Here is a 12,528-nt window from a genome sequence, read left to right as displayed (position 1 = left end):
CCCACTAACTACAGAACTGTGAGTGTTCAAAGCTATGTCTAAACAGAGTGGGATTTTGTGACCAAAACAAACAAACAAAAAAACTACAGCAACATAGACACAATTCTCCAAAGTAGGGTAAATTCCAAGTTCCTTTGATGGAAAAGTCAAAAGTGAACTGAAGGAGTTTATGTCATATATCAGAGGTGTGTCCATGTCATCCACCCACACAACTCTGTACTGTCACCCTTTGGGGTCTCCCCCATGCCACCCTGCCCCCTCACACACAGACACCTACACAGGCACTAGCCAGATTTCTGGAAATGATAGAAACTCAGGATTCTGTTGAAGTTAAGGGACAGGCTAATCTGGTAGAAAAGCCCACTGCCTATGGAAAGTGGAACCTCCCACTAGCCTGGTCTGTGACCTCCTTCTCCCCCAAGTCTTGATTCCCTTAACTGTTCAAATTTAGGGAAAAAATAGAAGACACAAGGATAGTCCCTGCCCTGAATTAAGGTTTTTTAAATTTTGTTTTGATTTGTTTTATTATTTTAATTTTTGTTTTAAAAGTAGAGTGATTAAAAAAAAAACTTAAAAATGACACCACACTACAGTACAGAAACAAAAACAGAGCTTCTTTGGCTGAATGGAGCTGGAAAGACAGGAGGCTGCCTGCTCAGCCTCCCTAGTTTCACCCTTTGTAGATTCTGAGACTTCTGTTTGTGTTTGTTTGTTTTTTTTGTTTTGTTTTGTTTTGTTTTTTTTTTGAGACACAGTTTTGCTCGTTGCCCAGGCTGGAATGCAATGGCATGATCTCAGCTCACTGCAACATCTGCCTCCCGAGTTCAAGCAATTCTCTTGCCTTAGCCTCCTGAGTAGCTGGCATTACAGGCATGTGCCACCACGCCCGGCTAATTTTGTATTTTTAGTAGAGATGGGGTATCTCCATGTTGGTCAGGCTGGTCTCGAACTCCTGACCTCAGGTGATCCGCCCACTTTGGACTCCCAAAGTGCTGGGATTACAGGCATGAGCCGCTGCACCGGGCCAAAACTTCTGTTCATGATTGTATTAAGGGCCCTAGTTCTTCACCATCCCTGTATCCACATGCTTTGCTATATGACTTTCATGCCCTCCCATTCTGATGCTGTGCTTGGCCATGTGACTTGCTATGGCCAATAGAATGTGGCACAATTGAGAGGCACATGTATGTTCCTGAAGTCTCCCTTATGCCTCTGCTATCATCAGATGCAACAGTGGAGCTGAGACCTCCACTGTCATCCCAGCTGAAGCCAATACCACACACATGTTCATTCCTGGCCAAGATCAGCCCAGCCCAGTCTGCATTAGCAAAACCTCACAGACCCGTGAGCTAAATGAACATCCATTGTGGAGGCCACTGAGCTTTGAAATTGTTGTTATAGAGCATTATTGTGGCAATAGAGTACCAATATAGTGATTTACACTGGAATGGGGTGTTACTGTACCAAAAACCGAAAATAGTTGGCGTTGCTTTTGATACTAGCAAGTTGGGGGACAAAGAGACAATTGAGAAGCCTGGAAATACATGATAAAGTATTTAGGAATACTGGGGAAAAATAATAAAAAACAAACTGCTATAAATAATTGAAAAAAGGGTGACGCATATTACAGTGTGAAAACAGTGGGTAATGTCACCTGTATTAACTTCAAAGATGGAAATGGTGCCCAATAAACATCTTGACCTGGGTACGGAGCTCTCTTGAGAGAATGTTGAAAGACATGGCCTCAGAAGAAAGATCAAGTCAAGGGTGCAATTGTAAGAACTTTGTTGAGATCTTCAAAGAATGATGCTGCTAAGAGACTCTCTCAGGGAGACACAGGGCTTTTAGGAACCTAAAGGGTGTTGTCCTCTAGTATTCTGGCATTCCCCAAATGCCACTAATTAATTTTAGAGAGAGCAGCATATCTCAACAAGATCGTGAGAGTAGCTTGTGGATCTCAGTTAGAAAACTAGAAAGCCTAGGGTGCTTTATAGGAAGCTATATCAAGAAGGTACCCCAGGCTGGAATACATGTAAAATGTAAATAGCTCTAAGAACCCAGCTGTCCACAGGCAGGAAGCAGGCTGAGAGCTACTCAAAAGGCATATTTTAAAGTATCTTCACACATAGCTATGGAGGGCAATGGAAGGGGAAGCACCTGGCAGAGTAGAGTTAAGGGTCATTGCAGATGATGAGCTGGGGAACATTCCAAGGATGTAGAACCAGGGCCTGGATAAAGAGCATCCCAAATTCCCCACAGATAGTGGGGCCTGGCACCATCTGTTATGCACAGCCCACAGCAGCACAATCCCACAGACTCATGAGCGAAATGCATGTTTACTCTTGATGCTACTAACGGTTTGCAGTTGTTTGCTACATAGCATCATTTTGGCAATAAATGATTGACTTGCAGAGTTCCAAGGAACAGATTTTAAAATGTTCTGGAACTCCTGATCGGTTCCTTTATAAACTGGCCTTTACTTGAGAAAGGTTTTATAGATTCTTTAAGTAATAAATGCATACTTTGTGATGATCTTAAAGTTACCATTCAGGACTTAACAGAGATCAAAGAAAAAGCTTTTATTTCTTTCTTTTTCTTTTTCTTTTTCTCCCAAGAATGGTTTTCTAAAACTAGGCTGTGTTCTGGAAATAAGCTGTGGGATTTCCTTCCCTACCAGTCCATAAGTCACGAAGTGATAAAGTCCAATAATGAAATAGGAAATTAATCTTCTTTTAGGAACATACTATGACACCTCAAAACAGACCTTTCATCTCAGGAATAACAGCCCCTCCAAAAAGTAACTAAGCAGCTATAAGAAAAAAAAAACTCTCAGTGGATATTCAAATATATAAAATTCCATGGGAGAACAGAACTATGAAAAAAACGAAAGTGAAAATGTGTTTGGCTTCTTTAACTGAAGTGTGTAAGTTCTAAAGAGTGTTTTGATTAAACAAGCTAAACACTCAAGATGTGAATGATAGAACTCATAAAGGTCACACAAGAGACATTCTACAAGATATTGAACCATACATTAAGCCTATTCATATGCAAATTTTTCATGTTTTCCTTCAGAAGGACTATGAAATCATATCATCTATGTCGATGAATGTAGCCTAAGGGCTGAAAGAAAAAGCCGGTCATTACAGAAAGATAAATGCAATCATTTGAAGCAGTATCAGCCGCCAGCAGTTCTGGTATTTCAAATAATAGATTGCCCTTTACACCCCACAACAATGTTGAGTTCCTTGGCTTGCTGGAGAGGAGCTCAGTCCCCAAAGGGTCAAGTATAATTCACCTGCATGCTTGTGCCTGGTGAAGGACACGTAAATAACATTAAAAACTTCAGCAATCACCACTCAAACATGTCAGTACAGAAGACTCATCTAAACAAAGACAAAAAGTTAGAGATGTGAGGAGAACACACAAATCCCCAGCCACTCATCACTGAACAAGAGGTCCGTGCCTCAGACACTTCAAAGCAAAGACACAACCATCTCCTATGAATACGTAAGAAGGGTTTAGATTGGGATAGACTAAAAAGTCGGAATATTTGTAGAGGAAATGAACAGATTCCTTCTACTAATTAGGTATATTTTCATAATGGCCACATAATGTATTCCAATATATGTCAGCAAATACATTTTATTTTTCTATCAAGTTATTAATAATGATATTTTCATATCAAGCTTTAAATCTTCATGAATGTGTGTTGTCTTTAGAAGGAAAAGAGATTTGAACAAACCTCAGCTGTTGGAGAGATTCCTGAATCGTCCACACTATGACTGGAAATTTTTCCCAGATTACATCGTAATACATGACTGTTAAAATTTTGTTTAGGGATTACATTGTGAAGTATGACTGTCTCATCAGGGATGACATTGTGAAGCACCTGTAAGAACTTTTATTTCACTGAATAAACCTCCAACATGTGCATGTCTTTATCCCAATAAGCTCCTTCAGGTTCACATGAACCATGCAAGTCCCCACTACAGAAGAGAGAGAGTGCCTTCCTGGGCTCATGGAGATTGTTCTTGTTCTCATAGCTCCACAATTGGCTCATGAGTAGACACAACATCCACACACTACAGAATGAAATGTCTATACTGATATCCTAATAAGAACTCACACTCACTCTCCCGCAGTGGACTTAACTTCCTCCCACAATCTACCCTTTTCTGATTTCTCTCTCAATCAAACACAATACTATTTCTCCAGTCATGGAGACTGAATGCTTTGAATCTTTCTGCTTTCCCCATTTTAAGGTAGTGTTGACTTTTTTCCTTAAATAACAACTCACTGTTGGGTTCACCACTTCTCTATTCCTACTGATGGATCAAGGCATCTTTCCTCTATCCCAGTCCTCATTCTCTCAAAGCTGAAGAATCTCCCACCTAGTCTCTTTAATTCTAAGGGGACCATTCCTAATTCACAGGTATAGTCCTGGCAGGGCTTGAAAATCCAGGACTCCTAAGAGTAGCTCTGTGTAACTGCTGCTTTCTTTGTGTCATCTCCAGGCCTATCTATCCAGCCTTCTGGAAGATAAGGCATTTACATTCATGAATGGAAGTACTCCTTGGCCAGCAAAGAAACTAGTGATATTTCCAATTATGACAACTGTGGGTATCTTTGAAAATAGATTTTTTCCTCCACTTTATATTTACTAGGTGAAGTCCTGTCTTAACAAAAAGCAAAAACCTATTTCCTCGATTTCTAAAGAAAAACAAGCCATTTTTTTTCAAGACAATGTTTACATATAATTTTCCTTGATGCTTAGTAACAAATGATTGGATTTAATCTGGTCCTTCTGAACCCTGTGCTCAAAATTATATTTGAATGTTGAGTTTTCCTAAATACTTTCTAAAACAGGAAAAAAATAAAAAAATATGATTACCTTTGCCAGAGTTGGGGGTTTTGATATGTTTCCATTTGCACCTCCAGCTTCACTGGGGATTTTTAATCCAAAAGACCAACCTCCAAGCCTGTTAACAATGAACATTGTGTTAGTGCTTCAACCACAGAGCACCAGGACTTCTAATCAGAGGGTATTCATTACTAACCCCACCAGGTACAGCAGTCTTAGGACAGTAGCCAACTGAGCATCTGTGGTCTGTGACATGAACACACAGGCAGACAGGTGCTGTGCTGATGCAAGTTTCCTGGCTCCCAAGCCAGGCAAAACGGAAGGCACTGATAATTGAGAAGGTGTGGATAAGGCTGGCCACATTAGAAAGTGTACTTGTCACACCTTACTGTCTTGTTAGGAAATACATGCCATGTAACAGGTAGGGCTTGATCATCAGCACTGTTATTATTTTAATTAATGGTCATTCCCTCTACAAATCCATTATTCAGAATTTCTTGGGCTAGGTGTGGTGGCTCACACCTGTAATCCCAGCACGTTGGGAGGCCGAGGCAGATGGACCACCTGAGGTCAGGAGTTTGAGACCAGCCTGGCCAACATGGTGAAACCCTGTCTTTTTCTGTATTTTGTAAAAATACAAAAAAAAAAATTAGCTGGGCATGGTGGCAGGCACCTGTAATCCCAGCTACTCAGGAGGCTGAGGCAAGAGAATCGCTTGAACCTGGGAGGCGGAGGTTACAGTGGACATCGTGCCACTGCACTCCAGCCTAGGCAACAGAGCAAGACTCCATTTCAAAAAAAAAAAAAATTTCTTAATAGTGGTCATAATCTTTTGAGCCACTCTGGTTTGTCTTCCCTACTCTATTTCTTTAATCTTTCACTCAAATCTTGTCTGGTTTAGGAAAGCATTCCAGACAATTTCAAGTGGGTTAGATGTTCCTTGTCTTTTGAGTTCCCACAATACCCTGTATTTCCATCCATTGTTATCAATTACCACACTGGGTTTTATTGTCTATTTGCTGGTTTATCTTTATGTAGCTCTGTGAATTTTTCCTGGGTGGGAATTATATCTTTTTTTAATATCTCCATGAGTTGCACAGTATCTTGTATCTATTAAACTTCAAAAAAAGGGTTAACATTTAAAAAAATATAATGTTAACTATTATCTAAATAAATTTTGTCTTCCACTCACTAGATAAAAGGAGACTGAAGAATAGTCTTCTCTTCTATCACAGTGTTCTACTCTCAGCAAAAATTCAGGCAAAGGAATAAGTACACATTCCCAACTGGCTCAACTGAATACACTCATTCATTCAACAGATACTGGTTGAACATCTTTGATGTGCCAGATAATATTCTAAGTTCTGGGCACACAAGTTCCCACCTTCAAAAAGCTATCGGCTCATGCCTGTAATCCTAGCACTTTGGGAGCCTGAGGCGGGAGGATCACCTGAGGTCAGGAGTTCAAGACCAGCCTGACCAATATGGTGAAATCCCATCTCTACTAAAAATACAAAAAAATTAGCCAGGTGTGGTGGCAGGTGCCTGTAGACCCAGCTACTCGGGAGGCTGAGGCACGAGAATCTCTTGAACCTGGGAGGTGGAGCTTGCATGCTGTAAACTTATCTGCTCTTATTTCCTAAAGCAGTAAAACAGCTTCTGGCTCTCGTGCTTCTGCCACTGACAAATCTCAATTGATAGGATTTCCCCCAGCACTTAAAAGAGTGAAAGTCAGCAGTAAGGAATCTTATTAAGGTCCATGGCATCTATGTGGAATTTTTTTTGTTTGTTTTTGTATTCAATTAGACTTTATTATATTTAAATATTAGAAATGGATGAGAAACAGATGACAAAACTATTTGTCTACTTTCAATGTAAAAACATGGACACAGGAAGGGGAACATCACACACTGTGGAATTTTTATGAGCACCAAGGTCAGTCTTAGATTTTTGACTTTTTAAGAACATTAGCATTTAAAACAATAAGTTTTCCATAGTAATCCAAACAAGTAAAGACCCAACAAGAGTATTGAACACACCTTGGTTTTTCAGATGGTGCCAGCAAGTACTCCTCCATATTGAAGCCTGAGAGATTCAACAGTGTGTGGCCCAGGTGGTTGGTCAGGTAGGGAGCACTAGCACTTCTATTTGGACACTTCTGAAATTGTTTTCAAAAAGATAAAAACAAACTTTTTTATAATTCACAAACTGGTTCACTGACATTACTTGAAACTACATGTGATTGTTCTCTAGCTTTCAATTTTTAATAAATTATCTGCAGCCCTTTATATGTTCTAATTTCTAAAATCTCTTTCAGTCACATGTATTTGAGAATTATGCCAGAATACCACTGTGACTTATGCAGTCAATTATATCTGAGAACTTCAAATCCTTTTCTGTATGTAAGTTTGGGCAGATTTATAAAAACTAAAAAGAAAAAAAATGTTTTCACTGGGGTGATCTTGCATTTGACGAACCTGAAAGAGAGTCAGAAACAACTAGTGGGAGGAAGATAAGCAGGATAATTCAAAGGCGTGTGTCTCTTTCATAAGGGTCTAAAGTAGAAATCAAACAGCTTTTCTCCAGCGACTCACCAGCATGCCAACACCAGCTCTGCATCATGGAATAATCACCTAACAAGGTAGGAGGAGGTGATCAACACAACGCAAAACCCAGGCCACTGGAGGCTGCGCAATGATGTGCTCTGCCCTGCCACAGACCGGCTTTAGAGTTAATGTGCTTTGTTTCCATTTCTCAAACACTTTCAGAAAAGATGATATATTAAAATAGGAAACGACTCTGTCTCTGAGTCTTTTGTTATCAAAATGCCAGGGGTTTGGTCTTGCTGCACAGAAAGCCAATCACTGAAACAATGAGTGTTGCCAGGGAGGAAGCTTTTAGCTGAGTTCTGCAGCTGAGGAGAATGAAAGAGAAAGTCTCAAATCCATCTCCTCAACCATCTAAAACTGGTGGGGGTTATATGGAGGGGAAAATGGGAAAACAGGAAAGAAGGAGGGGTAAGGAAGCAATCATGATGGATAAGACGTCTGGAGTCTCATTTTCTGAACTCAGAGATCTAACGTATTTCAGTCCCTTGCCTGAGGATCAGTTTCTTGAGGAAGAAACTCAGGTGAGAGAAATGTAAGTTTCAACTTTTAAGACCAGGGAGGGTCCATTTCTATGTTTATTCGAAAATCCATAAATATTACTTCTAAGAGACATTTGGGCCAGTTTCACATTCATTACAGCTTTGGAAGCTTGTCTGCTTATTTGCAAAATGAAAATGAAAACAGGCTTACCTAAATGCATGGATTTGCTGTTAGGTTCAGATACACATGAAAGAACTACAGCAAAGTAAGAAGGGCGATATGCATTTAAGATACTACTTTCAGGGTCTTGAAAGAAAGGCTTGAGGAAAGATACTAAAAAGAATAATAATTGTTGTACATAATAATTCAGCAAGACTCTCACTTATTTGTGGAATCTAAAAAAGTCAAACTCATAGGAACAGAGAGTAAAATGGTGATTGGCAGAGAGGATGTTGGTCAATGGATACAAAATTTCAGCTAAACAGGAGGCAAAAGTACAAGAGATCTATTGTACAACATAATGACTACAATTAGTGACAATGTATTGTACCTTGAAAATTGCTAAAAGAGCCAGTCGAGGGGCTCACACCTGTAATCCCAGCACATTGGGAGGCGGAGGTGGGTGGATCGCTTGAGGTCAGGAGTTTGAGACCAGCCTAGGCAACATGATGAAACCCCATCTCTAATAAAAATGCAAAAATTAGCAGGGCGTGGTAGCACAATCCTGTGGTCCCAGCTACTCGGGAGGCTGAGGCAGAAGAATTGCTTGAACCTGGGAGGCGGAGGTTGCAGTGAGCCAAGATGGCACCACTGCACTCCAGCCTGGGCCACAGAGCGAGACTCTGTCTCAAAAAAAGGAAAAAGGAAAATTGCTAAAAGAGTAGATTTTAACTTTGGGAGGCTGAGGCGGGCAGATCACGAGGTCAGGAGATCGAGACCATCCTGGCTAACACGGTGAAACCCCGTCACTACTAAAAATACAAAAAAAAATTAGCCGGGCGTAGTGGCGGCCACCTGTAGTCCCAGCTACTTGGGAGGCTGAGGCAGGAGAATGGCGTGAACCCAGGAGGCGGAGCTTGCAGTGAGCCAAGATCGCGCCACTGCACTCCAGCCTGGGCGACAGAGCGAGACTACATCTCAAAAAAAAAAAAAAAAAGAGTAGATTTTAAGTATCCTCAACACACACAAACACATGCACACAAATAGTAACGTTGGGGCTCAGAAAACAATACCCCAAAATGTGGTGCTTTCACATGCTGAGCTAAAGAAGCTTCAAGGTCTCTCTGACCTCCCTCCTACCCACCATCTCTCCCAAAGCACAGGATGAAGTTGAAATTCTTTACCTAACTAAAATCTAGACTCACCAAGGAGAATGTTTTATTTCTTCTCCTCCCTGTAAGACCAAGAATGTAACCATACCTAAACAGAGAGTGTCTGTTCCAAGATCCATTTATTCTCTATTGCAATCTTTTATTGTCCCAGTACAGAATGCGTCTTCTCCCGCCATAACCTGATTTGCCAGGATCCAAAGCCCTATTCTTTTGGTAAACTTGAGATGATATATAAACTTCTGAACTTCATTGGGGGATAGATAATCACTCTGTAATTCTCCCCCTGTACATGTTAAAAGAATTCATATGCCTTTTCTCCAATTAATCTGCTTTTAGAGTTGATTTTTTAGCAAACTTACAGAGGATGAAGGGCAAGTTTTCCTGTGCCCCTACAATAAGTACATGAGGTAATGCATATATTAAAAAGCTGGATTTAGCCTTTCCATAATGGGTGTGTGTGATTATATATATATATATATAAAATGATATATATGATATATATAAAAATGAAATACTATATATAAATGAAATATTATATATGTATATATAATGATATATGTATATATATCATATCATTTTATGTATTATATATATATCATGATATATGATATGCTGTAACCACAAATATATATAACTTCTGCTTCTCAATTAAAATAAATAAATAAATCAGCCAACCTTGATGAACATAACAACCTCCAAAGTTTCCCTACCTCCAGCTTTCCTCTCTCCAATTCACTTCACCACCCCCCATACTTATCAAGATACATCCTTCTAAAATGGTGTTTTCCATTAGATGATTTTCTTGCTAAAAAAAATTCCAATTATTATCAAGAATTCAGGTCTACTAGAAAATATCCTTGGTCTCATTCTTTTTTTTATTATTATTATACTTTAAGTTTTAGGGTACATGTGCACAATGTGCAGGTTTGTTACATATGTATACATGTGCCATGTTGGTGTACTGCACCCATTAACTCGTCATTTAGCATTAAGTATATCTCCTAATGCTATCCCTCCCCCCTCCCCCCACCCCACAACAGTCCCCGGAGTGTGATGTTCCCCTTCCTGTGTCCATGTGTTCTCATTGTTCAATTCCCACCTATGAGTGAGAACATGCAGTGTTTGGTTTTTTGTCCTTGCGATAGTTTGCTGAGAATGATGATTTCCAGTTTCATCCATGTCCCTACAAAAGACATGAACTCATTATTTTTTATGGCTGCATAGTATTCCATGGTGTATATGTGCCACATTTTCTTAATCCAGTCTATCATTGTTGGACATTTGGGTTGGTTCCAAGTCTTTGCTATTGTGAATAGTGCTGCAATAAACATACGTGTGCATGTGTCTTTATAGCAGCATGATTTATAGTCCTTTGGGTATATACCTAGTAATGGGATGGCTGGCTCAAATGGTATTTCTAGTTCTAGATCCCTGAGGAATCGCCATACTGACTTCCACAATGGTTGAACTAGTTTACAGTCCCACCAACAGTGTAAAAGTGTTCCTATTTCTCCACATCCTCTCCAGCACCTGTTGTTTCCTGACTTTTTAATGATCATGAGAAAATATCCTTGGTCTCATTCTAACCATTATCCGTGTAGGTGTCCCCAAATACACCCTCTGTATTAAACTGAATATTGACCGCCCCCCCACCAAAATATCAGGCCCTCATCTCTGGACTCTTTAAATGCTACTTTGTATCTTGACGATGTTATTAAGTTACAGATCTTGAGTCCAGAAGATTATCCTGGATTGTGACAGTGCACCCTCATGCACTCACCTTGTAACTGAGCTGCTTAGCAGTTTAGCCTCAAACAACATTTTAAAATGTTTTATCCTTTCCCTTTTCCTCTTTCCCCTCCGAGTTTCAAGATGTAGCTCTGAGATAAACTTATAGCCTCGAAATGTTTTCTTTCTCTTTCCTTTCCCACTTCATGCCCCCATGCCTTATGCATATTTATTTACCTAGATGCTTGTTAAGCACATGCCATGCTCACTTACCTGGTCATATATTTCCTTAGAAGTTTCAGAGGACTAGACACCTCTGAAAATCTGTCCCCAACAAAAGATTACTTCAAGGCCAGAACCCATTCCCGGCTGAAGACTAACTACAAGATTGTGATTAGTTTATAACCTGGCAGGATCCACGATGGGGTCAGCCTCTTCACCAAATGAAACAATAATTCAAGATGAACCATTGGAGTAAGTAACCCCTCCTGGGACCTCCTAGCTCCCCGCTCCCCAACCCCCAACCTACCACCCCTGCCTCTTCTGCATTCCAAACCCTTTCTTTAAAAAACCCTGTGTTCCCTCCACAAATTACAGCGGAATTGCTTTCTGCTCTTCCCCTTGCTGGCACATATAAAAAAGTCTTGCTCACTTTTAATCAGCTCGTTATTATTTTGGCCTCTTTCTACAAGCAGCGAGCAGCCAGGCCCTTTTGCTGGTTACAACCTGTGCCACTGTGAGAGGGAGGCAGAGGAGGACTAGACAGAGAAAGAAGGGGAGGAGGCACTGTGACAATGGAGATAGAGATGTGTGTAATGTCACCAGAGGCCAAGGAAGGCCAGAAACAAGAGAAGCTGGAGGAGGAAAAGGACAGATTGTCCTCAAGAGTCTTCAGACACCTTAATTTCACTCCAGTCACACTGACTTCAGACTTCCAGCCTCCAGAACTGTGTGAGAATAAACTCATGTTTTCTTAAGCCACCAACTGTGTGATAATTTATTATCTCAGCGACAAGAAACAAATATGCCCTCCACCTATTCTGTATAAAGCCACACTCAGTCCCGATGACATGTTTTGGGTCATAGTGTTGTTATCCACTGGAGCTCAGACCCTAAAAATCCCTGTTTGTTCTTTAGAGTTAGCTCAATTCCTGTTCCCCTTTAAGCCTTTTCTAACGGTGTCGCTTCCAAATCATGTTTTCATCCTCAGAAGGACTAACCATGGAACCTTTTTGTAGGTTTGGAGACAGCCACAGCATATTTGATAAAACATGAGGAAACAGGTTGGGCGTGGTGGCTCACACCTGCAACCCCAGCACTTTGGGAGGCCGAGGCAGGTGGATGACAAGGTCAGGAGTTCGAGACCAGCCTGGCCAAGATGGTGAAACCCCATCTCTACTAAAAATACAAAAATTAGCCGGGCACAGTGGCGCATGCCTGTAATCCCAGCTACTCAGGAGGCTGAGGCAGAAGAATCACTTGAACCCAGAAGGCGGAGGTGGCAGTGAGTCGAGATCAC

At 40.7% G+C, this 12,528-nt stretch overlaps 1 protein-coding gene across 22 annotated transcripts in view; it reads right to left on the bottom strand.

The window, feature by feature from the left end:
- The window catches only part of ABCA13 (ATP binding cassette subfamily A member 13), a 476,040-nt gene that overhangs the window by 159,443 nt on the left and 304,069 nt on the right, over positions 1 to 12,528 (bottom strand). For 20 of the 22 annotated variants that reach the window (XR_926914.3, XR_926915.3, XR_926919.3 and 17 more), the window contains 2 exons: positions 6,901 to 7,019; positions 4,892 to 4,979 (listed from right to left, as the gene is read on the bottom strand). Coding sequence is in view for 19 of the 22 variants with exons in the window: in XM_011515130.3 (XP_011513432.1) it covers positions 4,892 to 4,979; positions 6,901 to 7,019 (207 nt within the window). In the remaining 3 variants the exon portion in view is untranslated. Of the gene's footprint in view, positions 1 to 4,891; positions 4,980 to 6,900; positions 7,020 to 10,425; positions 10,465 to 12,528 lie in introns of those variants that run through there. The other 2 variants (XM_011515141.3, XM_011515142.3) reach the window with 1 other exon arrangement.

Source organism: Homo sapiens, chromosome 7 (genome assembly GCF_000001405.40).
Source record: "Homo sapiens chromosome 7, GRCh38.p14 Primary Assembly".
Taxonomy (NCBI): Eukaryota; Metazoa; Chordata; class Mammalia; order Primates; family Hominidae; genus Homo; species Homo sapiens.
The sequence above is the reverse complement of the archived record's forward strand: the minus strand, read 5'-3'. Positions and strand labels throughout refer to the sequence as shown.